The 27,277-nt window shown below is 43.8% G+C and overlaps 1 long non-coding RNA gene and 1 pseudogene across 2 annotated transcripts, besides 5 other annotated features; one reads left to right on the top strand and one right to left on the bottom strand.

Moving 5' to 3' along the window:
* RN7SL63P (RNA, 7SL, cytoplasmic 63, pseudogene) lies at nt 380–683 on the top strand (annotated as a pseudogene).
* Nucleotides 1,676–26,621, bottom strand: LOC105376478 (uncharacterized). 2 transcript variants are annotated; one of them, XR_930792.3, is made up of 3 exons: nt 26,442–26,621; nt 23,888–23,971; nt 22,550–22,751 (listed from the first exon to the last, which is right to left on the bottom strand). It is a non-coding gene; the product is annotated as an uncharacterized LOC105376478 (long non-coding RNA). The 2 variants fall into 2 exon arrangements; XR_007062102.1 differs by lacking the exons at nt 22,550–22,751; nt 23,888–23,971 and adding an exon at nt 1,676–2,330.
* Nucleotides 2,130–2,424: a silencer, noted in NCBI's record as "tiled region #6088; K562 Repressive DNase unmatched - State 1:Tss". NCBI's record gives its function as "represses a minimal TATA promoter and a strong SV40 promoter by Sharpr-MPRA in K562 cells {active_cell/tissue: K562}" and the evidence as "EXISTENCE:reporter gene assay evidence [ECO:0000049][PMID:27701403]".
* Nucleotides 2,901–3,513: an enhancer, noted in NCBI's record as "NANOG-H3K27ac-H3K4me1 hESC enhancer chr10:30841700-30842312 (GRCh37/hg19 assembly coordinates)". NCBI's record gives its function as "activates a minimal SCP1, AML or CMV promoter by ChIP-STARR-seq in primed H9 embryonic stem cells {active_cell/tissue: H9 hESC(primed)}" and the evidence as "EXISTENCE:reporter gene assay evidence [ECO:0000049][PMID:30033119]".
* Nucleotides 17,471–17,971: an enhancer, noted in NCBI's record as "H3K27ac hESC enhancer chr10:30827242-30827742 (GRCh37/hg19 assembly coordinates)". NCBI's record gives its function as "activates a minimal SCP1, AML or CMV promoter by ChIP-STARR-seq in naive H9 embryonic stem cells {active_cell/tissue: H9 hESC(naive)}" and the evidence as "EXISTENCE:reporter gene assay evidence [ECO:0000049][PMID:30033119]".
* Nucleotides 25,955–26,344: an enhancer, noted in NCBI's record as "active region_3219". NCBI's record gives its function as "activates an Ori minimal core promoter by ATAC-STARR-seq in GM12878 lymphoblastoid cells {active_cell/tissue: GM12878}" and the evidence as "EXISTENCE:reporter gene assay evidence [ECO:0000049][PMID:35858748]".
* Nucleotides 26,565–26,714: an enhancer, noted in NCBI's record as "active region_3218". NCBI's record gives its function as "activates an Ori minimal core promoter by ATAC-STARR-seq in GM12878 lymphoblastoid cells {active_cell/tissue: GM12878}" and the evidence as "EXISTENCE:reporter gene assay evidence [ECO:0000049][PMID:35858748]".

The raw sequence follows: 27,277 nt of genomic DNA, 5'->3' as shown, positions 1-27,277 counted from the left end.
TGGTGTACCCAGCTCTTTTGATCCTATTTTCCTCCCTTTAACTTGGCATCTGGCCCCTCCCCAAAATGAAGCTAAAAATCCCCTCCCCTCTATTACATAGAGGAATTCAGCTTGGCCCCAGCTACAGTTCTCCAATTGCACACGCCATTCATCACAACTCTCAGTACAGAGAGACCCCCCACCGAAGCCACCAGCACCATCTCTCCTCAGAGGGGAGTTCAGCCAACTGGATGTTTTGAGTCTATGAGTTTACTCTTTGAGATTTCCTGACACCACAGTTTCCAATGTTCCTTCCAGACACAGACAATCCTCTCCTCCCAAGAAACTCAGGTGTGGCTAGGCATGGTGGTGCACACCTGTAGTCCCAGCTACTTGGAAGGCTGAGGTGTGGTGGTACACATGTGTAGTCCCAGCTACTCCGGAGACTGAGGCCAGAGGATCGCTTGAGCCCAGCCAGGAGTTTTGGGCTGCAGTGCGCTGTGCTGATTGGGTGTCCACACTAAGTTCATCACCAATATGGTGAACTCCCTGGAGCCGAGGACCAACAGGTTGGCTAGGGAGGGATGAATTGGCCCAGGTTGGAAATGGAGCAGGTCAAAATTTCCATGCTGATTAGTAGTGGGATGGTGCCTGCGAATAGCCACTGCACTCTGGCCTGGCCAACATAGCAAGACCCTGTCTCTAAAAAAATAAGTAAATACAAGAAACTGGTGTAAACTGTTCTCTTCACTCTGTTACATGTAAATGTAAGGAAAGAGAATGGAAAAACTATTTTAACATGGATTATCTCAAAGTGGTGAAATTGTGAGAGTTTTTTACTTTCTTCCTTTTGTTCATCTGTATCGTCTAAATGTTCTATAAGATGAATATCTGTTTAATACATTTTATCTTTCTTAAAAGATTGTGTTGATGACTAAAAAGTTAACATGTGTAACAATGCCAGCAAAGCTGAATTTTTACTTAAAAGTTACAGCCGGGCCAGGCAAGATGGGTCATGCCTGTAATCCCAGCACTTTGGGAGGCTTTAGTGGGTGGATCACCTGAGGTCAGGAGTTGGAGACTAGCCTGGCCAACATGGCAAAACCCATCTCTACTAAAAATTCAAAAATTAGCTGGGTACGGTGGCAGGTGCCTGTAATCCCAGCTACTTGGGAGGCTGAGGCAGGAGAATCACGTGAACCCGGGAGGCGGAGGTTGCAGTGAGCCAAGATTGCGCCATTGCACTCCAGCCCGGGTAACAACAGTGAGACCCTGTCTCAAAAGAAAAATTACAGCTGGGTGTGGTGACTCATACCTGTAATCCCAGCACTTCAGGAGGCAGAGGCAGGAGGATCACTTGAGCTCAAGAGTTCAAGACCAGCCTAGGCAACAAAGTGAGAACCCCCTCCCGTCTCTACAAAAATAATAATAATAATAACAATAATAAATAAAACTGAAAAAATAAAAATATATATTTTATGGAGAAAGGTGTACACATGTTATCTAAAAGTGAAGAAGCATAAAAAGTTTCATATTCATTTTGTTTCTCTCTGTCTGTTCAATTCTTATAGCTTCATTGTTTAATTTCCTCACATCTTTTTTGGGAGAATGTTATTTAACAAGGATTCTGGTAACTGTAGCGGAACTGGCAAAGGGGCGGTTTGTAATCAGCACATTGCTTGTATAATCCACGGGGTTGTAACCATTCAGGAAGGAACTTCCTGTCCTTTATTTAATTAAAGCAACTTTTCTTGAAAAACAAAACAAAACCTCTTTTCTAACTAGCATTTACATGAAGAGTTGCCTACGTTAAAAGACACAGCAACCTGTGAAGAGAAATATTTAAGCTAATGTGTTCCATCGTGCTGGTGAGCACTTTCAAAGGAGTGCATGAAAGATATCACAGCCTCACAAATGCAGAGAAAAGCCTCCCTTGGCCACTGCTGATCAGGAAGTGAGACTTTGTCCTCCCCACAGTGGTAAGAGCCTCTGGGAAATTTACTCTGGGCTGTGTATCTATCACTTGCTCTAAATCAACAAATTTGTAATTGATTATGTCACATTTCAGCTATACCTAGCCGGCTGGATTATCTTCCTCATGGCCAAAAGGAGACTAGACATGGAAGGCAAATTGCAGTTAGATGAATTTAACCAGCTTTCTCTACACCGCATGAAGCCAGCGACTGTGAGGGCTCTGCTACGCGGCTGAGCGGGCTGTGCAGGCATTGCCAAGGTCTCCTCCCTTGTTGACGTTCCCTGCTCGTCTTCACGTGATCCCATCTCAGGGCTCTGCCGTCCACGCCCTCACCAAGCTGGATCCTGGAAGTCATGCAATTCCTTCTTCCTTACTTCTGTAAACCAAAAAGTGTCTGAGACAGATCTCAGTCAACTTAGAGGTTTATTTTGCTGAGGTTGAGGAAACACTCAGGAAAAAAGAAACACGAGTTACAATAGGATTTGTGTTCTCTGCTTTTTTCCAAGGAGAGTTTTGAGGACTTCAATATGTAAAGGGGGAAGAGTGGGCAGGAGGAGAAGGAGAGAAGAAAAAGAAGGGGGTAGGATAGGCAATGAGCCAGGTGGTCACATTCTCATGAGGCCTTGAATAGCACTCACTGAATCCACACTTTACATGTGAAAAGATAGGAGGGAGGGGAAAGTCATATAATTATCTTGCTGAGTAAATCTACATTTTACGTAAGATAAAGTCAGCACATGAAATTACAGCTATCCCTTGGGAACGAAAGGAACACAGTTTTGCTTTGTTTTTCTCTTGTCTCAGTTCCCAAGCTTAACTTTTCCCTTTGGCATTGTGAGTTTGGGGTCTTGAGATTTTCTTTTCCTTTCACACTTCCCCCACCAATTAATGGTAAGTCAGCCAGTTTAGCAGACTAAACATTTCTAACTTACCTCTTTTTCAATTTCTGCTAACACTGCGCTAATTCACTTCCTTATTCTCTAGGACAGGGGTCCCCAACCCCCAGGCCATAGACCAGTACTGGCCTATCAGGAACTGGGCCACACAGCAGGAGGTGAGCAGCAGCAAGCAAGCAAAGCTTTATCTGAATTAACAGCCGCTCCGCATCACTTGCATTACTGCCTGAGCTCCACCTCCTGTCGGATCAGCGGCAGCATTAGATTCTCATGGGAGTGCAAAACCTATTGTGAACTGAACATCTGAGGGAGCTAAGTTGCATGCTCCTTATGAGAATGTAATTCCTGATGATCTGTCACTGTCTCCCATCACCCCCAGATGGGACCTTCTAGTTGTGAAATGGCTCCATTTTCTGGGGTATATACCTTGACTCTTGGTCTCGGTTGAGAAGGAATTCAGGACACAGACACACATGAGGAGTGGGTTTTGGAGCAGAAAGTTTAATAGAAAAAAGAAGAAAAGAGGCCGGGCACGGTGGCTCATGCCTGTAATCCGAGCACTTTGGGAGGCCGAGGTGGGCGAATCACTTGAGGTCAGGAGTTCAAGACCAGCCTGGCCAACATGGTGAAACCCCATCTCTACTAAAAATACAAACATTAGCCAGGCATGGTGGCAAGTGTCTGTAATTCCTGCTACTTGGGAGGTTGAAGCAGGAGCATTGCTTGAACCCAGGAGGCGGAGCTTGCAGTGAGCCGAGATAAGGCCACTGCACTCCAGCCTGGGTGACAGAGCGAGACTCCATTTCAAAAAAAAAAAAAAAGGAAGAAAAGAGAGAGAAAAAGCTTCCTCATGCTAAGAAAGCCCAAAAGAGAGTCTCCAAGTGGGAAAAAGAACCAGCTGGTGCAAATGCGTGGAGTTTTATAGTCATGTTTGAGGAGGCAGTCTCTGATTTACATAGGGCTCATAGATTAGTTTGATCAGTTATGATGTCTACATAGTGTTTGGGGAAGGCTGGTTGCCCCACCCTAATCTTATCACACAAATGGCCATTCCAGTTGATCAGTGCCATTTTGTCTGCTTCTTACTGGACACGTGGCTGACAAAAGAAGGGAAGATGGAGCCGCCATCTTGAATATAATCGGCGCAACTGCCAGTATCAGGTCTGCAGCTCGATTTTACAGGCTGCTCTTCATTAGAAAGGAAAATGATTTGGGGCTGCTTTTCACTAAAAATAAAAGTTTTACCGAGGACTCCCATACTCTTACTATCTGCCTAAGTAATTTCTTCTTAACTCCTAAATCAGTTGCAGGAAAACAAGCTCAGGGCTCCCACTGATTGAACATTGCAGTGAATTGTATAAGTATTTCATTGTAATAATAACAGAATGTTATACATTGTACATTCTTAATGTTATACATTGTACATTGTTATACATATATACATGTATAATGTTATACATTGTACATTGTTATACATATATACATGTATAATGTTATACATTCTTAATGTTATACATTGTACATTATTATACAATGTAATACATTGTACATTATTATACAATGTAATACATTGTACATTATTAATACAATGTAATAATAATAGAAATAAAGAGCACAATAAATGTAATGCATTTGAATCATCCTGAAACCACCCCCACCCCAGTCTGTGGAAAAATCGTCTTCCACAAAACCAGTCCCCTATGCCAAAAAGATTGTGACCACCAATTGAGCAGATATACAAAGGTAACAGCCTCCCAGTCAGTGTTCTTGCCCCTCAAATCCACCATCACATCCTACATCATTATTGCTTCACTTAAAACCTTCCAACGGCTCTTTATGCATTAGGAGATGAAATTTCATTCCTTAGCCAGGAGTAGTGACTCATGCCTGTAGTCCCAGCACTTTGGGAGGCCAAGGCAGGAGGATCCCTTAAGCCCAGGAGTTCAAGACCAGCCTGGGCAGCACAGTAAGACCTCATCTCTACAAAATTACAAAATTTACTGGGTGTGGTGGTGCGCACCTGTAGTCTCAGCTACTCAGGAAGCTGAGGTGGAAGGGTTGCTGGACCCTGGGAGGTCGAGGCTGCAGTGAGCCATGATCGTGCCACTGCACTCCAGTCTGGGTGACAGAGTGAGACTCTGTCTCAAACAAACAAAAAAAATATTGCTCCTCAACATCGTTCTCTGGGGCTTCCAGCCACTGGCCAGGTGCACCCTGTCCGTGGTCTTCCCACCACATCCCGCCCCACACTGCACACTTCCTGCATACATCTGCTTCTGGGCACTGCGTTTTGGCTCACGTGCTCCTGCTCCTATCACCCCATGCACATCCCACATGCTGTTCACAACTAACTCCTACTTGTAATTTACCACTTAACTCAAACATCTCCTCCTCCAGGAAGCCCTTCTTATTTGCACACACCCCAAACACACTCATAGGCCTCTGACTCCCATAAGGCCATGTGCACATGCCTACTATTATACTTAGCATATTGAATTAACATTATTATTATTATTTCGAGATGGAGTCTCACTCTGTCACCCAGGCTGGAGTACAGTGGCACAATCTCGGCTCACTGCAACCTCCGCCTCCCCGGTTCAAGCAATTCTCATGACTTAGCCTCCCAAGTAGCTGGGATTACAGGTGCCCACCACCAAGCTGAGCTAATTTTTGTATTTTCAGTAGAGACGGGGTTTTGCCATGTTGGCCAGGCTGGTCTCAAACTCCTGACCTCAAGAGATCCACCTGCCTCTGCCTCCCAAAGTGCTGGGATTACAAGCGTGAGCCACCACACCCGGCCTGAATTAATATCATTTTGCTATCATCATCTTTCTTTCTTGAAGGCAGAATCTATTTGGATTCTCATGGCCTAGCATAGAGCCAAATATATAGAAAATTCTCAATGAATATTTAGTGATGGAATGCGTGAATGTAAAAGAGCCACATGATGTTAAAGTTTGTTTAAATGAGGCAAGATTTTTTAGGTAGAATAAAATGAGTCTTTTTTCCTTTCTTTTTTTTTTTTTTTTTTTTTTTTTTTGAGACAAAGTTTCACTCTGTTGCCCAGGCTAGAGTGCAGTGGTGTGATCGCAGCTCACTGCAACCTCTGCCTTCCAGGTTCAAGCAATTCTTCTGCTTCAGCCTCCCGAGTAACCGGCACTACAGGTACACACCACAATGCCTGGCTCATTTTTTTTTTTTTTTTTTTTTTAGTAGAGATGGGGTTTCACCATGTTGGCCAGGCTGGTCTCAAACTCTGACCTCAGGTGATCCACCCGCCTCGGCCTCACAAAGTGCTGGGATTACAGACGTGAGCCACTGTGCCTAGCCGAAAAAAAAAAAATGAGTCTTAAACGGAGGATGCATTTTGGTAATGAACTTTCCGGGATAACTGATATGCAAGAAGTCTGCAGTTAATTTTCCTACCATGCAATTCTGCTTTTTTTTATCACATTACCACCCCTATAATACTGAAGACAGAATTTGATACAGAGATTTGTGTAAATGATATCTATAATTTCAGACAATTATTATAATATAAAAATTGTATATTTAACTCTTGGGAGAAAATTAAGGAAAATATTAAGAAATCTAAATATTTTTCTTTCCTAATTAAGGGATATCTTCAAGAAAGCAAAAAGAGGGGCCGGGCGTGGTGGCTCACGCCTGTAAGCACTTTGGATGGCGGAGGTGGGCGGATCACCTGAGGTCAGGAGTTCAAGACCAGCCTGTCCAACACAATGAAACCCTGTCTCTTCTAAAAATACCAAACTAGCCGAGTATGGTGGTGCATGCCTGTAATCCCAGCTACTCAGGAGGCTGAAGCAGGAGAATCGCGTGAACCTGGGAGGCGGAGGCTGCAGTGAGCCAAGATCATGCCATTGCACTCCAGCCTGGGCAACAGAGTGAGACTCTGTCTCAAAAATAAATAAATAAATAAATAAATAAATAAATAAATAAATAAATAAATAAATAAAAATAAAAAAGAAATGAAAAAGAGGAAATAATAGGTCTACATATGGAAGAACTACAAGAGCATCTATAGAGCATAGGAAATTTCAACATACTGGTATTACCCCAAGTAGAAAGGAATTTGTGCAGCGTTAACATATCTAAAAAGTACAAGTTGCTGTAAGAGAAACTGGAAACAGAAGAGACAAAATAGAAGGAGAAGAGAGATCAGAGACAAAACTGGAATGACTGAGGAAATTCTTTTCATTCGGTTTTCAGGAAAAATAAGTTGATGATATGTTAGAACAGAACACCAGCACTGCTCTATTGAGTCTTTAGGAACTCTGAGTGGATGGATGCTCTGGTCTGATTCTCTTGCTGATTTTATTCTACATTGGCATAATCTGTGTTCTTCTCAACAGTAAGCAGTTCCTTTAGTTATATTGGTTATCTGTGGCTGTGTAAAAAAAATACCTCAAAACCTAGTAGGGTACTGTTCGTGATACTATGGGCAGACAACTTGGGCGGGGCTCAGCTAAGCAGAGTTTTGGCTGGTCTCAGCTGGGGTCATTCATGAGCTCACTCTAATCTGATGGATTGCCTGGGATGATTGGTCCAAAATGGCCTCAAGTGCAGGAGTTCAAGACCAGCATGGAAACTATAGTGAGACCTCGTCTCTACAAAAAAAAAAAATTTTTGCCGGGAGCAGTGGCTCACACCTGTAGTCCCAGCACTTTGGGAGGCCAAGGTGCTCAGATCACCTGAGGTCAGAGTTCAAGACCAGACTGACCAATGTGGTGAAACCTTGTCTCTACTAAAAATACAAAAATTAGCCAGGTGTGGTGGTGCATGCCTGTAATCCCAGCTACTTGGGAGGCTGAGGCAGGAGAATCACTTGAACCCAGGAGGCGGAGGTTGCAGTGAGCTGAGATTGTGCCATTGCACTCCAGCGTGGGCAACAACAGCAAAACTCTGTCTCAAAAAATAAATAAATAAATAAAAAATAAAAATTAGCCAGGCATTGTGGTGTGTACCTGTAGTCCCAGCTACTCAGGAGGCTGAGGCATGAGAATCACTTGAACCTGGGAGGCAGAGTTTACAGTGAGCCAAGATCACACCACCGCACTCCAGCCTCGGTGACAGAGAGAGACTCTGTCAAAAAAAAAAAAAAAAAAAAAGTGTGGGCTGCACGTAGTGGCTTCCTTTCAAAGTGGAAAGGATGTCTGTTGGATGAGAGGTTGTTGTTAAATAAATAAATAAATAAGAGACAGTGTAGAAGATGGGAAGGGGAAGGGGGGAAGTCTAAATTTATAGTGGCGAAAACGACAAGTACTGCTTTGGCCAGGTCGTCCACGTCAGCCTCAACAGTGATGAATTACATTGATAATGTGTGCTCTTAATATGATGTGAGGAGAATGGTACTTTACTTGTATGATCTGCCTCCTCAAAATCCATAACTCCAGTCTAACCATGAAAGAAAAACATCAGACAAACCCCAACAGAGAAACATTCTTTAAAATACTTGACCAGTACTCCTCACAATTGTCAAGGCCATCAAAAACCAGAAAAGTCTGAGACTGTCACAGCCAAGTAAAGCCTAATGAGACATAAGAGGCCAGGTGTGGTGGCTCATGCCTGTAATCCCAGCCCTTTGGGGGGTCCAAGGTCGGAGAATTGAGGCCAGGAGTTCAAGACCAGCCTGGGCAACAGGCTTTTCAGAAATTAACATATCAATCAGAAAAATATTAACACAACTAAAGTTTAAAATTTATGGTAGGCCAGACACAGTGGCTCATGCCTGTCATACCAGCACTTCAGGAGGCTGAGGTGGATGGATTGCTTGAGCCATGGAGTTTTTTCTCTATGGAAAAAAAAAATAAGTTAGCTGGGCGTGGTGGTGCATGCCTGTAGTCCCAACTACTTGGAAGGCGGAGGTGGGAAGACCACTTGAACCTGGGAGTTCAAGGCTGCAGTGAGCCATGATTGTGCCACTGGACTCCAGCCTGGGCGACAGTGAGACACTATCTCAAAAAAAAAAAAAAAAAGACATAACAAGTAAATGTAATGTGTGTCCCAAATGGGATACCAGAACAGAAAAAGGATATCGGGTAAAATCTAAGGAAGTCTGAATAAAGTATGGACTTTAGCTGATGGTAACATACCAACATTGGTTCATTAATTGTAACAAATGTGCCATACTAATGGGCGATATTTATAAAAGGGAAATAGGTGCAGGACATATTTTGACTTTTCTATAAATTTAAGACTGTTCTCAAAAATAAAATATATATCTAAAAATGTATAAAAATATACAGAATGGAATAGAATAAATATGCAGTCTAATATGTGGATTACAAATTAAGGCCACATCTTTTTTTTTTTTTTTTTTTTTTGAGAAGGAGTTTCACTCCTGTTGCCCAGGCTGGAGTGCAGTGGCACGATCTTGGCTCACTGCAACCTCTGCCTCCCAAGTTCAAGCGATTCTCCTGCCTCAGCCTCTGGAGAAGCTGGGATTACAGGTACAAGCCACCATGCTCGGCTAATTTTTGTATTTTTAGTAGAGATGGGGGTTTCACCATGTTGGCCAGGCTGGTCTTGAACTCCTGACCTCAGGTGATCCGCCTGTCTCGGCCTCCCTAAGTGCTGGGATTACAGGTGTGAGCCACCGCGCCCGGCCTCAAGGCCACATCTTTTTTAGTATCAAATTTAGTGGCTGCTAGTGTCCATGGGTAATCACGAAATTATCTTTTCCTTCCTCATTTTCTCTTCCTTAGAAACAAAACCTGGGGAAATCTGACCACCCCGCAGAGCACCGTTTGGCTGTGTGATTCTCTTGCAGCCATGTGGGAGCATTGCTGGCAGTAGCTGGCCCCATAGCCCAGCATCGCTCTTGACCATTGGCAGAAGCAATGGTCCCAGGCACCACCTTTAGCAGCCCTAAGGTCCTTGAATACTGCTGATTCCTAGGCTTCCCCCATTGCTCACATAATAGGTCAGGGGGAAGGGGACTCTCCTCACAGTGTTGTGCTTGGTTCCAATAATACTGATAATAATGGTAATCATAATAGCTCACATTCACTGAATGTCAGGCACTATTTTAAGTGCTTTGCATACATTAACTCATTTAATCCTCCCAGCAATCCTAAGGAAAGTCTCATTTTATCCGTCAGTTCGGACTTTGCTTATTGCATCCATCCCCATGATCTTTTTTTTTCCTTTTTGAGATGGAATCTCACTCTGTCACCCAGGCTGGGGTTCAGTGGCTTGATCTCAGCTTACTGCAACATCTGCCTCCAGAGTTGAAGCGATTCTCCTGCCTCAGCCTCCTGAGTAGCTGGGATTACAGGCATGCACCACCATGCCTGGCTAATTTTTGTGTATTTTTAGTAGAGACGGGGTTTCACTGTGTTAGCCAGGATGGTCTTGATCTCCTGACCTCAGGTGATCTGCCTGCCTTGGCCTCCCAAAGTGCTGGGATTACAGGCATGAGCCACCACGCCCGGCCACCATCATCGTTCTTAAGGATGCTCCAATTTTCCCCCACGTGGCCAGAGGAAACCTCTTCCTTTTGGCTCCTGAGTCTTTTGGACTGACGTGAGTGGTTTTGATGGCTTCCTTCCTTCATTTAGGACAAGATGCCCAGACTCATCTTGTTCATTTCCTTTCCTAGAGCCAGATTTGGTCATTTCTCCAAGGAGCCCTCATTCCTCATCAGCCACATAGGCAGTTCCCCCTCTATTATTTTCTGGGATAGCACGGGATCACTTCATAGAGCTCAGCGTCTTGTAATTATCTATTTGTCTACTTACTATTATTATTATTATTTTTGAGACAGTCTCACTCTGTTGCCCAGGCTGGAGTGCAGTGGTGCAATCTTGGCTCACCGTAGCCTCTGCCTCCCAGGTTCAAGTGATTCTCCTGACTCAGCCTCCTGAGTAGCTGGGATAACAGGAGTTAGCCACCACACTAGCTATTTTTTTTTTTTTTTGTATTTTTAGTAGAAACAAGGTTTCACCATGTTGGCTAGGCTGGTCTTGAACGCCTGGCCTCAAGTGATCCTCCCACCACCGCAGCCTCCCAAAGTGCTGGGATTACAGGCATGAGCCACCTTGCCCATCCTATTTGTCTACTTATTTGCTACCTGATTCCCCCATCAATCCAATAGCTTCTTTTTCTTTTCTTTTGCTTTTTTCTTTCTTTCTTTTTCTTCTTCTTCTTTTTTTTTTTTTCTGAGACAGAGTCTCACTCTGTCGCCCAGGCTGGAGTGCAGTGGCGTGATCTCGGTTCACTGCAAGCTCCGCCTCCCAGGTTCATGCCATTCTCCTGCCTCAGCCTCCCAAGTAGCTGGGACTACAGGAGCCCGCCACCACACCCGGCTAACTTTTTGTATTTTTAGTAGAGACAGGGTTTCACCGTGTTAGCCAGGATGGTCTCGATCTCCTGACCTTATGATCCACCTGCCTCGGCCTCCCAAAGTGCTTGGATTACAGGTGTGAGCCACCATGCCCGGCCTTTTTTTTGTTTGTTTTTTGTTTTTTGGGTTTTTTTTAAAGTCATGGTTTCGCTCTGTCTCTGAGGCTGGAGTGCAGTATTACAAACATAGCTCATTGCAGTTTCAAGCTTCTGGACTCAAGAGATCCCCCTGCCTCAGCCTCTTGAGTAGCTTACATCTGTAGGCATGCGCCAGCACACCCAGCTTAATCCATTAGGTTCTTGAGGCAAGGGCTATGCTTTCTTGCCATTATCTACTTAGCAAGTATTTTTTGATAAGTGAAATAGTGTACCACTTATCAAAATATAGATAATAAATATATAACATATTAAAATACAAACATCTTTTATATTATTTGTAAATATATATTTTTACATGCATATGTAAATTATTAGAAAGGGCTATTAAATTAGCAGTGGTGGTTATATCTGAACTGGGGTGTCATATGTTCATATGTCTTCTTTTCATTTACAGCACTTTTCCAAAATGTTGAGTATAAATGTGCATTACTTCTGTAGTAAGAGAAACAAGTATGGCCAGGCATGGTGGCTCATTCCTGTAATCCCAGCACTTTGGAAGGCCTCCACACTTGAGGTCAGGAGTTTGAGACCAGCCTGGTCAACATGGTGAAACCCCGTCTCTACTAAAAATACAAAAATTAGTCAGGCATGGTGGTGCGTGCCTGTAGTCCCAGCTACTCGGGAGACTAAGGCAGGAGAATCGCTTGAACCCAGGAGGGGGTAGGTTGCACTGAGCCAAGATCATGCCACTGCACTCCAGCCTGGCGAAAAAGCAAGTCTCCATCTCAAAAAAAACAAAACAAAACAAAACAAAAACAGAGAGAGACAGGGAGAGAGAGAGAGAGAGAGAGAGAGAGAGAGAGAAACAAGTGCATATATTTCTAAACCATGAAAGCTCTAGAAATGCTTCAATACTTTTGGAGAGTTAGTTTCTGGCTCCAGACTGGGCATTCCAGCCTTCAAACTGGATGCTCAGTGTGGCAGAAACTCCCATGCATCACTAGGTTGGGTCCCCAGACTGATACACACAACAAGATGCCTCCTTGCTCACAGTGGATCTTGGTCCCCTCCTGGGTCCAGGGCCATCTAAGCAGGGACGCTTAAGCCATGACACCCTGCTGGTGACCCTCTGGCTGTTCCTCCCTAGGTCTCAACTCTTAAAGGTCTTGAAGCTCTTGAGTAGGTCCGTGGTCTCTTTAAGAGGAACAAGTGCTTCTGCCTGTCCCAGAAGTCTGGTGACCCCAAGGCTTAGTGCTTCTCCCAGGACAGCTCTGGATAGTGCAAGAAAACTCCAGGAAAGTGGCCTCACTGCCACAATCAGAAAGAGGCAGTTAGGGGCAGGTGCGGTGGCTCATGCCTGTAATCCCAGCACTTTGGGAGGCCGAGGTGAGCAGGTCACCTGAGGTCAGGAGTTCCAGAACAGCCTGGCCCATGTGGAGAAACCCTGTCTCTACTAAAAATACAAAAATTAGCTGGGCGTGGTGGCATGCGCCTGTAATCCCAGCTGCTGGGGAGGCTGAGGCACAAGAATCACTTGAACCCGGGAGGCGGAGGTTGCTGTGAGCCAAGATAGGACCACTGCACTCCATCCTGGGTGACAGAGTGAGACTCTGTCTCAAAAAAAAAAAAAAAGAGGCAGTTAGGATTCCTTCACACAGAAGGAATAGAAAAGAGAGCCATGAATTTCCAAACACCCAGGCTGGCCACAGTGGGCTTGTTCTGCTGAGGTCATTCAATTCTGCAGCTCGTTCTAGGAGACATCGCATCCTGCTTCTTGCCCATGCAGAGTAGGCTATGAACTCAGAAAAGAGCGCAGGCTTGTGGAGCTTTGTAAGAAGCCAATTGGCCTTCTTCAAAACCCCCAAACAGGACCTCAGTTATGGAATGTACTTTCCCAAGCCCACCATGAAGGACTCACATAGGTAGACAGGAAATGCAATCTCCAGCAGGGGCTACAGAGAGTTTCATTCTGACTTCCAGTTGAAAGAGTGAACAGGCAGCAGAATCACTAGTAAAACTCCTGGGATTTTTTCTGGGAGTTGGAGAAAAAAGATGTTACACCTGAAACTATGTGTTTTCTCTATTTTGTGATTTCAAAATATGGAAGGGGAGAACTTTCAAAGGGGAAGTTCCTGTAGCTTTTTGGGTCAGAAATGGAAATTTACTAGGGCTGACTAATAACTCTCCGTGCTTTGACCTCTGAGACAGTAAAAACTCTGACAGTTATGTAAAGATAGCAATTGGGAAAATGTTAGCATTTTTACTGCAATCTAGGGCAAAGGCCAAGGCTCCCCAAAATCTGCACTAAGTGAACATTCGTGTTAGGTTGCCAGAGAGGGGACAGTGACTCATCAGGTTTTCAGATGAGCTCCGGCTCTTCTTAAGCCAACAACGTTCTATTTCACTCGTCAAGCTAGACCTGGAAGTCAATGTCATGGTACCCCACGTGATGTTGAAGAAATGGTGAAATGTAGACCTGCCAAGAATTGACAGAGCCGTGTAGCTGTTTGCCTAGCTGGCAATTGATCTACGCAATGATTGATATCATGAGTAGATTAAGCAACAAGCAAACAAGAGCATTCAAATGACCCTGGTACCATACAAGGATGACCTGTCCAGTTAGGCATAGTAAACAAATTCCCACAAACACACCAAAAGGGGCAGTGGAAAGGAAAAGTACATATGTTTTGTGATTTGAGCCTGACCTGGTTCTCTGATGTCCAAAACCTGATCGATCCTCTTTGTGTCTGAAGGAAAACAGGGCTCAAAATGTCATGCATGTGATGGTTGAAGGCTGTGACAATGTTTAGTCTGGAAAAAAGCTCCTTTTTTCCAGTTCGATGGGATTGAAGAGCTGCTCAAATGACGGAAGAGCTATCATGTGAACAGGAATTAGAGCGCACTCCGAGGGGGGAGCAGGGGCCAGTGTGAAATGACAAAGTGACATTTTAGCTCTCCACGTTTTCTAGCAATTAGACCTTTCCTGAAGTGGAAGGGGCTGCCTGGGGAAGCAGAGCATTTCTGTTGCTGGGAGTTTTCTCAGAGGCTGATGCACATCTTGGGGACTGCTGAGGCTCCATTCAATCCCACCGGAGACACAAATGGGAATTCAGCCTGTGCCTTCCCGTGTATTGGGCACTGGGTGATGCCAGCCTTTGGATGTAGGAGTAGAATCCTCCCAACAAGCCTGGGATTCATCATCACTCCCATGTTGCAGATGAAGAAACTGAGGCTCACAGAGGCTAAATAATCCACCTAAAGTTGCCTAACGAGTATTCAAACCCTGGTGGATTTGGCTTCAAAGCCAATGGTTTTTTGCCTGTATCGTATACCCTCCATCATGCTAAATAAGTTCTTAATCCTTAAGCCCTAATTAATAAAATGTATTATTTTGCAATGTTATCAAAATCCCACATTCCTAGAGGCTTAAATAAAATTCTCCCCAATATAAAACCTAATTATTCCCTAAGCGTCTGCAGGCATGCCAAAGGGCCTCTTTGCTAGAAATTCCACGATTTCCTGATTAACAAAAGGAAATAGCATTGAGGCTCTCTTTCTGAAACTTCTACTAGGAATCTCAGAAATGAAACTTGCGGTATTCATACCATAAAATCAATTCAGATAGCTGAATTCTTATATCTGCTTTTTCATTCAATCTCTTGTGGAATCATAAGTCATGGAACCTCTGCAAAAAGCTACCACAAAGAGATGAGAATGTGAGTGAACAAGGCAAAGAATATACTCATTTTAAAATTATTTATGGGCTGGGCATGGTGGCTGACACCTGTAATCCCAGCACTTTGGGAGGCCAAGACGGGTGGATCACGAAGTCAGGAATTTGAGACCAGCCTGGTCAGCATGGTGAAACCCCGTCTCTAATAAAAATACAAAAATTATTCAGGCATGATGGTGTGCACCTGTAGTCCCAGCTACTCGGGAGGCTGAGACAGTAGAATTGCTTGAATCCGGGAGGTGGAGATTGCAGTGAGCTGAGATCACGCCATTGCACTCCAGCCTGGGCAACAGAGTGAGACTCTGTCTCAAAACAAAACAAAACAAAACAAAAAGCATAATTGTATATGTGACATGTGTTTATGAATTAAATATCAGTTTAACTCACAGCAATTTGCCTGAGTTTGCTTTGAATTTCATGCACCATAGAGATGTTTACCTGCCTTCTATTTCAAACTCTTTATATCCACCCTGAAGACATCCCTCTAATAGCATCCAGAAATCTGAAACCTCCCATCCCACTGGGCTCAGCTGAGGTGTCCTGAGAGAATGGCAACCCAGAGGCCTGGCCTTCTGGGCGTGGCCTAGAAATTGTACTTTTGTTTCTCAGTTTTGTAGATGACACTAATTGTTTAAGGTTGTAAGCTATTACTTGAACATTTATTTCCCTTATCTCATGGGTACCTCTCTGTGACTTGGGCTTCTTAGTCATCTGAAGAATGTATCATTTTAATTGTGAAATCATTGAGTCACTGATATTTCTTGTTATTCTATATACCATAGTCAAGAACTATGACAGGTCTGAGACTATACCCTATTTGCAAGCTAATCATTCAGCGTGACCCAATTTCATGGATACTGACAGAAGACATGAGACTCCTGGGTCAGAAACAAAGGACTTCATTGCTCACAGCAGTAGCAGTAGCCAGTGTCAACATTTGAGCCACTTCCCTGAACTCCATTTCCCAAACGATGATGTGAACAGGGCCAAATGATGCACACATACAGGATTGCCTTGCAGTAGAGGAACATTGAATTTGGGAAACTCAAATCTCTTATAGTGGGCAGTAAACCTGCCTGGCCTTTGCCCCAGAAGAAAACATTGTTTTTATCATACTGGACAATAAACAAACCTGTCCTTTGCTCCAGAAGGGAACACTATCTCAATTTTCCAAGGCTGTCTGCTATATAAGCATCTGTGAATACATAGATCAAAATAAAGGCAATTAGCACCTGGGCAGACAATAGAAATGCAAGAGACGATGGAGAACTGTCTACCAGAAACCACTGCTTTCATTTATGCACAGTACCTGATTTTGGACCCAAATTTGCACCATTCTAATTTCTTTGACACTTGATAATTTAAGAAATATTTGGTCTTGATTCCTGGTCAACATTTTCCGGTCTTACAAATCCAGACCATACATAACTCCTTCTCCTCCATCTATTCATGAATGATTACCCTTTTGCAGAGTTCTCTTGTTTGTTTTTCTCTTCCACCTAAATATCATCCAAGACAGGTATTGGGACAGTCTTGTTGTACCCACACAAAAAAATACAGAAAAAAATTCAATATCAGAGATATCAAAGTAAGAAATGAAGGTGGGGGCAAAGGGTGGGCACTACAAAGCAAACACCTCCCTAGAATGAAAGATTCATTCTACGGAGTCCATTGGAGGGATACGTATAAATGGTTCTCTGTCCTTGCATGGTGGTATTTTCTTACTATTGTGTACAGACATTTTCTCCTAAACCAAAGAAATAGGATGTTGAACCCAATATTCACCTTTAAAGTCCATTTAAATTTCCGGAAGCAGGGCCAGGCACTGTGGCTCATGCCTGTAATTCCAGCACTTTGGGAGGTCGAGGTGGGAGGATCACTTCAGGTCAGGAGTTTGAGACCAGCCTGGCCAACATGGTGAAAACCTGTCTCTACTAAAAATACAAAATAAGCTGGACGTGGTGGTACATGCCTGTAATCCCAGCTATTTGGGAAGCTGAGGCACAAGAATCAGTTGAACCCAGGAGGCGGAAGCTGCAGCGAGCCGAGATCATGCCACTGCGCTCTAGCCTAGGCAACAGAGTGAGACTCTGTCTCTAAATAAATAAATAAATGAAAGTAAATATATAAATAAAATTTCAGGGAGTATCCTAAAGGACTGTCAATAGCAATTTCTTCTGGGAAAAACAACTTTGGTTTTTTCCAGGGGGAAAGGAGGGAAGACCACTTTGATCTATTGCATTCTATTCTGTTTGATTTTTGTGATGAAGATAGTTTAAAATTTTCATTTTGTGTTTGCTTTATTGTCCACTTTTTGCAAGCTACTTGGTCAAGCATTCACCAAACTAAAACTGTCCTTCTTCTCCATCTTGACCTAGAGGCTCAATTGGAAGCTCAGTAGGGTCTTCGGCTGCATGCCATCTCCAGTGCCCAGCAAGAGATACCAAGAATGTCCAAAAGCAGAATGTCCTAACACAACAGATGCATTGGAGCAAGCCTGCCATCTGAAGTAGGCTGAGTAGGTTGGCCTGGATACTCTGCTTTAACAGTCTTGAAAAAGAAGAGAACCCTACCAATATCAGGGCATGGAAGGTGTAAATACTAGACCAAAATATGTATTTGAGACAGAAATTCTGTGAATTTCAAAGTACCTCTTGGAGGGAAGAAACTGGTATGCTGATGGTCCTTGGAGGTTGGAGAGGAAAGTCTAGACTCATCCACATTTTTTGTCTCCTATAAATCAATTGCGTTCACAGCAGATAGAGCTGGGAGTCAGTAACAGCTGGGTTTGCAAACCAAAGTTACCGTTACCCAGCTGTGTGGCCTTAGGAAAATTGCTTGAACTCTTTGAGTCTCAATGACTCATCTTAAAAAAATGAGGATGAGAATACCTATCTCTGTGTGATTGTTGTAAAGAGTCTGGCACGTAGTGGGTGTTCATTAAGGTGTCACCATGTTAACAGGCAGGGATCTATCATGACTTATTTGTTCTCCACAAATAAGTTCATGTTTACTGATGGTAACCTGTGCCCCAAATCGGAACTCAATGCCTACTTAGAATGGGCTACAGAGCTTGCTGTTGGGAGTGTGGATTCTGGAGTCACACTCCCTGTGTTTGAATCCCAGGCTGACCGTTTTCTAGTTGATGATGCCAGGCAATTTCAAAACCTCTCTGATGTGTTTTCCTTGTCTGTAAAATTGAGTGGATAACCTGCCTTGTTCAGTACGATGTTAGATTATCTTCCAATTAGAAAACACTAAATCATAATACAAATAACATTACTAATTTGTATTATTAGAAGGGCAAGTCTGGGGGTCAAGCAGAATCGCCCCCCACCCACAAAACCTGAAATATAAAACTAGTCAGGAAATACAGATGCCATTTTTAGAAACAGAGGATTCCCAGCAATACAAATATTTAGAGGAACTTTCTGATAAGTGGCAGCTGCCAGAACGGAAGGGCTAAACTCTGAAGTTTCCTGTGTTCTTATTTTGTGGAGAAATAAACTGATGGTCATTACAGCAAACTTTCAATATCTCAGTCCATGAGACTCATATTTATACAGTAGGTACTTATCAATCAAATTTTTTCATGTGCTTTTCAAAATACAGCAGTAGAAGAGCTTAACCCCTTGCCTGGTGATGAGAGGAAGTCTCTTTGGAAACAGCACTAAACTCAAATACAGTCTTCCATGAATAATCACATACTAGACAATGACATAATTATATAATTGTGAGACCCACAGATGCCAAACAAATGACATTAGAAACAATTTCAGGCTAGGCACAGTGGCTCACACCTGTAATCCCAGCACTTTGAGAGGCTGAGGTGGGAGGATTGTTCAAGGCCAGGAGTTCAAGATCAGCCTGGACAACATAGCAAGACCTCATTTCTAAAAACAAAATATTAACAAAATAGTCGAGCATGGTGGCTTATGCCTTAGTCCCAGCTACTCAGAAGACTGAGGCAGGAGGATCACTTGAGCCCAGGAGTTCAAGGCTGCAGTGAGCTATGATGGCATCACTGCACTGCAGCCTGAGTGACAGAGCAAGACCCTGTCTCTAAAATAATAATAATAATAAAATCTGCACTTTAGTGAAAGCTTAGCTGATCATATGAATGAATCTTTATAGTTACTCCCAACCAATAGCAATAAAAAGATATTGCAAATCTGTAAATGTCACACAGTAACTGATACCATTTGATGGAGTATCTAACATACTCCAGGTGCTTCCAGTATTATTTCTGATCCCTCCAACAATGCTGTAAGACCATTAGCTTCATTCCATAGATAAGACAATTGAAGTTTAGAAAGATTAATTACTTGCCAAAGGTTACCCAGCCAGGAACGGCTGAAACAGGCTGTTCCACTCTAACTACCCACATCCTTTTGTTTGTTAGGTCACATGGTCTTTTAATAATCTTCACTTAACAACTGGATCTGAACACCTGCTTTGCAGCTTGCCCCAGGTTAGGCATTCATGCCCCAAAGATGCACCACATACTGTCCCTGACTTGGCAGAGATGAGCCTTCCAAGCTCATTATTTACTTTTTCTTCCTCAGAAGTCATCAATGACGCAGGCCACAGTTTCTCATTCTCCTGATTTATATACTCGAAGAATTGTTTGCCTCATTAGCTGTTGTCGTGCAAAATACATTACCACCTTCCAGAATGAATTCCACAGCACCACATAGTTGTGGATAAGGAATAGGGTTTATTGGGGAAAAGGAAAATTAAATATGCCAAAGGACAGCAAAAGAAGAAAGGCATGAGACTGTGCTTAAAGAAACTGCTATATACCGTTGCACCACAAGGTCCTAAAAAAAGAAAAAAGAAACAGCTACAAATAAACAGAACAAATATAAGCATATTTCATAGAGAAAATAGGAAATCCAAAAGTTTTGGAGGATTAACTTTCCAAAAGCTTATTAAATAATACAAATAACTAAATTCAGGGCATGTCTGCAACATCCACATTTCCCATAACTGTCTCAAATCAGTGGCTCAGCCAACAGGACCAAGAATAAAGAATTCACTCTGCTTCGACCCCTAGGTCTCTCTGCAAACAATCCCATCACCCCTACCAATGAGCTTTGCCTCTACTCACCCATCTGAGCTCCAGCCTTCGCGTGTGACTCCGAACGGTGGAGTTTTCTCCTAAATCCATTCATCTTGCCAAAAGTAAGTGTATTTCATTGTTACTTTTTACTGGCTTCACCTTCCTGGGATTAACCATTATGCTTTTGCTATTTCCCCATCTCCCTGTGTAAGCCCATGCTTCTGTATTATTTCATATTTTTAATGCCTTGATTTCACAACCCACCCTTTGAAAAACAGATTTATTTATTTATTTATATATTTATTTATTTATTTATTTATTTTGAGACAGAGTTTCTCTCTTGTTACCCAGGCTGGAATGCAATGGTGCCATCTCCGCTCACTGCAGCCTCTGCCCCCCGGGTTCAAGCAATTCTCCTGCCTCAGCCTCCTGAGTAGCTGGGATTACAGGAGTCCACCACCACGCCCCAGCTAATTTTTGTATTTTTAGTAGAGACGGGGTTTCACCATGTTGGCCAGGCTGGTCCCGAACTCCTGACCTCAGGTGATCCGCCCGCCTCAGCCTCCCAAAGTGAGAGCCACTGTGCCCATCCAGAAAACAGATCTGTTTTAAAAACTCCATGTGAGCAAGAACTATGTGGATCCCGTTCTCCGTCCTATACCCAGTGTTTGGGGAATGCATCTGTTGACTAAGTTAATGAATAATGAAATGAGTAAAAACCACATAAGGACATCTTAAACTCAAAATCCAAGGAGTAGGCAAATTTCCCCACCATGTGGAGCAGAGTTGGGCTTTGGGGGTTAATTCGTTTTCTTTATATCGTGCATTAAAAATAAGGAAATAGGCTGGGAACACTGGCTCACGCCTGTAATGCCAGCACTTTGGGAAGCCAAGGCAGGAGTATTGCTTGAGCCCAGAAGGTCAAGGCTGCAGTGAGCCATGATGGCGCCACTGCACTCGAGCCTGTGAGATAGAGTGAGACCCTGTCTCAAAAAAATAAAGAAATAAAAAAAAAGGATGGGGTGGATAAAAGTTGATTTTGGTTTCCCACTCTGATATCTTCCCATATGTATTCTCTCTTCCCAAAACAAGTTTTTGGTGGAGAACTGGGATATTCAAGGTTAATAATCACATCTTTAACCCAACTCAGAACAGAAGCCCATCAGTCAAGAGTCCACCTTTTAGGGGTACAGTATGAACACAAAACAGACGAACACGTCCAGGTAATGCTGTCACAGATGCTCATCCGCAGGGGTGGGCTAACGTGGTCAGGCCATGATACAGAGGAGCGTTCCACACGACTTCTCCAGGGGCTTCCGATTCTATGAACTTCAGCACACGTTCTGCGTGGCTGTGGCTGAGGGGGCACCTTAGACCTTTTCCTTCCCAGGGTTGTGTTGGCCATGGAGACATGAATGGTGCAACAGCGTGCCTGCATTTTTACAGTTTGTCACTAGATGGCAGCACACATTTGTCAAGACGGAGACTCGGCTCTGGTTTCTGTCACTCATTTCTAATTAATGAAACACCATTGGATTTTTTTCTTTTTTTTTCTTTTTTGAGATGAAGTCTCGCTCTGTCACCCGGGTTGGAATGTGTAGTGGCGCGATCTCGGTTCATTGCAACTTCCGCCTCCTGGGTTCAAGCGATTCTCCTGTCTCAGCCTCCTGAGTAGCTGGGATTACAGGTGCGCACCACCACACTTGGTTAATTTTTGTATTTTTATTAGAGATAGGGTTTCACCATGTTGGCCAGGCTGGTCTCAAACTCCTGATCTCAGAAGATCCACCTGCCTCGGCTTCCCAAAGTTCTGGAATTACAGGCGTGAGCCATGGCGCCCGGCCACTTGGTGCAGTATTTTCTTTGGTGGTTGGTGAACTGTTGTGACTATTTTCTCAAAAGTAGTTCTAGAATCAGCAACATTTAATCCCGAAGCAGGTGCAGGAGAATTCTGTGAGAGTCCAGCATGCAAAAATATGATCCTGGCCTATGATCTAACCAAGAAGCAGCTCCTCCTAAACCATGATTATCAAATTTCTATGCAGGTCAGGTGAGGTGGCTCACGCCTGTAATTCCAGGGCTTTGGGAGGCTGAGGCAGGTGGATCACTGAGGTCAGGAGTTCGAGACCAGCCTGGCCAATATGGTGTAATCCCGCCTCTACTATAAATACAAAAATTAGCCAGGCGTCAGGAGAATGGCGTGAACCTGGGAGGCGGAGCTTGCAGTGAGCCGAGATCACGCCACTGCACTCCAGCCTGGGCGACAGAGCAAGACTCCGTCTCAAAAAAAAAAAAAAAAAAAAAAAAAAAAAAAAAAAAAAAAAAAATTAGCCAGGTGTGGTGACCCATGCCTGTAATCCCAGCTACTTAGGAGGCTGAGGCAGGAGAATCGCTGGAACCAGGGAGGCAGAGGTTGCCGTGAGCCTATATCTTGCCACTGCACACACCAGCCTGAGTGACAGACAGAATGAGATTCCATCTCAAAAAGAAAAAAAAAATTCTGTGCAGTCCCCTTTCATGCGCAGATTTTGAAGATTAAAAGCAGAATAATCTATGCAAACAAAAGAACAAAAAATCCAGCTCAGAGTAACAGCATACGGTGCTGGAGATTTGTGATATTTGCAGTGTTGCTTCTGTGCCTTTCTGTGACAATAGAAAAAGTGAAGATTTCAATTGAGTTATGATGCTTGGGTTATTGTTTCTGGGTTTTTTTTCTTTGTTTGTTTTTTGTTTTTTTTTCTCCTCTCCCTCCACATAGACCTTGGAATGGACAATTTCAAGTGCATGGGATAAATCCAAAGACTTGAGTCTCTAGCAGCCAGCTAGACTTGGCCTCTCCTTGACTTTGGGCGGTGGGAATAATACTCACCAAATAAGCGACCAGCACAAACTATCTTTTACTCTGAAAGTCTTTGCTTGCGCCTCTCCAAGCTAAAAATAGTAACAGCTAATGCTTACTGAGCACCTACTGCATACCTGACAATGTAAAGAATCCTCTGTTGCTTTGTACAAGAAAACTTTAAAGAAGGTATCATTAACATCACACTTATTTTATTGTAAATGAAGAAAGGCTTATTCACACAACTTGCACAAGGCCTCCCAGCTAGGAAGCAGTAGCTCTGGATTCAATCCAGATTTAAGTAACACTACGTTAAACCACTGCCACCTCGCCCCCACCCACCAAGACCAACAAACTTCCAAGAAAATGTTCTAAAACTCTTCAGGGAGTTTTCCTGTAATACTAAGAGGATCATGGAGACTAGTGGGCCAAGCTGATCCTGGAGCTCTTCTGCAGTCCGCTATGTGGCTCCTTTATAAAAGAACATGTTATGGCCTCTAAGATAATCTGTTCCCATAGAATTGGGAAATTGACTCTACACTATGGGGCACAGAACACCAAACACATGCATGTGATTTCTGGTAAACCAACTTGATCCAGATGTAAAAAAATCAGACTTAAGCAATAGAGTGGGCCGGGCACAGTGACTCATGCCTGTAATCCCAGCACTTTGGGAGGCTGAGGCAGGCAGATTACCTGAGGTCAGGAGTTCAAGACCAGCCTGGCCAACATAGTGAAACCCCATCTCTACTAAAAATACAAAAATTAGCTAAGTTTGGTGGCGCATGCCTGTAGTCCCAGCTACTCAGGAGGCTGAGGCAGGAGAATCGCTAGAACCCCGGGAGGCGGAGGTTGCAGTGAGCCAAGATCCAGCCACTGCACAACAGCCTGGGTGACAGAGCTAGACTCTGTCTCAAAACAAAACAATAGAGTGTCTTACCTCAGTATAAGACCTTGCACTTTTCAGAATACTTCCTCTTACTCTTCACAGCATAGCTGCAAGGTAGGAAGAGAGATACCATCCCTGTAGAACATACCAGTTAACAGCTCTGGGCAGGGCCAGCTTGAGTAACCGGGATAGTCACTCAGGGCCCCACATGTTCAGAAAGTCCCAGCATTTGGAAGTTTTCACATTCCCCTAGCACTTGGGGTTTAATTAATTATTCATTTAAAATCTTACTAATTTGATCTTTGACTTTATGTTTTGTTTGTTGGTTTGTTTTGAAGCCAAGGTCATGGTCTGTTACTCAGGCTGGAGAACAGTGTTGCACCCATGGCTCACTGCAGCCTGCACCTCCTGGGCACAAGTGATCCTCCAGCCTCAGCCTCCCAAGTGGATGGGACTATAGGCGCAAGCCACCATGCCCAACCTTGAATTTGTGTTTTGTAAGCGAAGTCCAGCGGGACAATGGAACGTGCACCAGGATTGGAGCCTCAGTCCTGCACCCTACTGCCTTCTTGCCTCCCAGCTTTTGGTCACCTGGTCCTCCATGGCCACTGATCAGCAACCTCTACTGCCTCCCATCACCAGGGGACCCCTGGCATGGGCACAGAAAGGGTCTTTTCTTAAGAGAAGATAAGAATCCGGCCAGGTGCAGTGGCTCATGCCTGTAATCCGAGCACTTTGGGAGGCCGAGGTGGGTGGATCACTTGAGGCCAGGAGTTCGAGACCAGGCTGGCCAACATAGTGAAACCCTGTTTCTACTAAAAATACAAAAATTAGCCTGGTATGATGGCGTATGCCTGTAATCCCAGCCACTTGGGAGGCTAAGGCAGGAGAATCACTTGAACCCAGGAGGCAGAGGCTGCAGTGAGCTGAGATCGTGCCACTGTACTCTAGCCTGGGCAACAGAGTGAGACTCTGTCTCAAATAAATAAATAAATAAATAAAAAGAAGAAGAGAAGAATCCACAGTCAGCTTTCCTTAAGTAACAGTCACCCCCTGGGAGTTGAAAAACCTCCTTTCATTAATAAAAATGTATTTGTGCACAACTTGGACGAATGTTCACCAGGGCAGGGATTGATGTCTGTTTTGGTCACTGCTGTATCTCAAATGCCTACAATAGTATCTGGCACGTAAACATCTGTGTTGAATAACTGAATGAATTCCTTTTCAGAAATCCATTTGTCAAGAGGTGTTCTCAGGGAGGCAGGGCCTGTGTCTCTTCTCATTTTCGAAGCACAAAGCTGAGCATTTGAGAAGAACTAGCTTCATTCTTGCTAGTGGCACAATTGGTTATCTCATTGAACAGGCAAAAGTAAATGGACCATAGATGCATGTGTCTTTTTTTTTTTTTTTTTTTTTGAGACAGAGTCTTACTCTGTCACCCAGGCTGGAGTGCAGTGGCATGATCTCGGCTCACTGCAACCTCTGTTTCCTGGGTTCAAGCAATCCTCCCACCTCAGCCTCCTGAGTAGCTGAGACAACAGGCATGCACCACCATGCCTGACTAATTTTTGTATTTTTAGTAGAGATGAGGTTTAGCCATGTTGGCCAGGCTGGTCTCGAACTCCTGACCTCAAATGATCTGCCTGCCTCAGCCTCCCAAAGTGCTGGGATTAGAGGTGTAAGCCATCACGCCCGGCCAATATGTGTGCATGTGTCTTTATAATAGAAAAATTTACATTCCGTTAGGTATATATCCAGTAATGGGATTGCTGAGTCAAATGATATTTCTGTTTTTAGGCCTTTGAGGAATTGCCACACTGTCTTCAACAACTAGTGAATTAATTTGCTCTCCTGCCAACAGTGTAAAAACATTCCTTTTTCTCTGCAACCTCGCCAGCATCTGTTATTTTTTGACTTTTTAATAATAGCCACTCTGACTGGTGTGAGATGGTATCTCATTGTGGTTTTGATTTGCATTTCTCTAATGATCAGTAATATTAAGCTTTTTTCATATGATTGCAGCACTGTTCACAATAGCAAAGACATGGAATCTACTAAATGCCCATCAATGGTAGACTGGATAAAGAAAATGTGGTACATACACACCACGGACAACCATGCAGCCATAAAAAAGAATGAGATCATGTCTTTTGCAGAGACATGGATGGAGCTGGAGGCCATCATCCTTAGCAAACTAGCACAGGAAGAGAAAATTAAATACTGCATGTTCTCGCTTATAAGTGGGAGCTAAATGATGGGAACATATGGGCACATAGAGGGGAACAACATACACTGGTTCCTATCAGAGGATGGAAGGTGGAAGGAGGGAGAGGATCAGGAGAAATAACTAATGGGTACTAGGCTTAATACCTGGGTGATGAAATCATCTGTACAGCAAACCCCATGACACAAGTTTACCTATGTAACAAACCTGCACATGTACCCCTGAACTGAAAGTAAAAGTTAAAAAAAAAAAGGAAATGGACTATTTTTTTAATCCAGTGAAGTCTCGCTCACTGTTGAGTGAGCTTTTACCTACGTTTCCGCACATCCGATCACTGTCAAGGGCCCCCAGTCATGTTATGAACGTTGCTCAAATACTCACCAATGAATGACCACGAAATAAGTGGCGAGGGTAAAACCACAGCAAGAAGGAACATGAGGAGCAGACTCTTCCTTTTGCCTCTCTCTGGCCAGGTTCCTTATTTTCTTCGGGTGGAGGACTCAGGCCAGGCGCACCCAGCCACTGGCAGCCTCCGAGAGCCGCGGCGCTGGGTAGGAAGACAGGAAGTGGCGGTGGTGAGCAACGGTAGCTCGACTCGGGCAGCACTCACAGATTTCACGGAACGTGGACGAGGCTCTCGTCATGGGCTGACCACAGAGCCACAGCAGCATGCGTGCTTTGCCCGAGTTACCTGAAACATCGCGCCCAGGAGCCAGTGACGCACAGGGAGAGTTTCAGCAAGAATGCTGGGCGGGCAGCACCTGTCCAAGACCTCATTAAGTGCTTTATTTCTATCAGGGCACTTTCAGTGACAGAGAACTTCCGAAATAAAGCTTTGGTCATTCCACACCCAACCACCCCCACAAATATACGGAATTATGTTCTCTACCACTGGAAGAATGAGGTTGCTTCAGCAAAGCAATGTTTTAAAGAGCTGCCTTAACATCATTTAGGTATCTAAAAACGTAATTGTTGTTAAATGAGAAAATTGTCAAGCAACTGTTCTCCATATTCACAAAGGGCAAAAGGGAGGGAAACAGGTTAACATCTGGGGAAGAGGCATTGATTAGACTGCATGAGTGTTTTTTATTTATTATTATTTTTTAATGGTTTAAAACTTTACTTTTTTTTAAAGACAGGGTCTCACTCTATTGCCCAGGCTGAAGTGCAGTGGCATGATTAGCCTTGAATTCCTGGGCTCAAGTGATCCTCCTGCC

This window comes from Homo sapiens, chromosome 10, assembly GCF_000001405.40.
Source record: "Homo sapiens chromosome 10, GRCh38.p14 Primary Assembly".
Lineage (NCBI taxonomy): Eukaryota > Metazoa > Chordata > Mammalia > Primates > Hominidae > Homo > Homo sapiens.
This window is presented reverse-complemented; position numbering and strand designations above follow the sequence as displayed.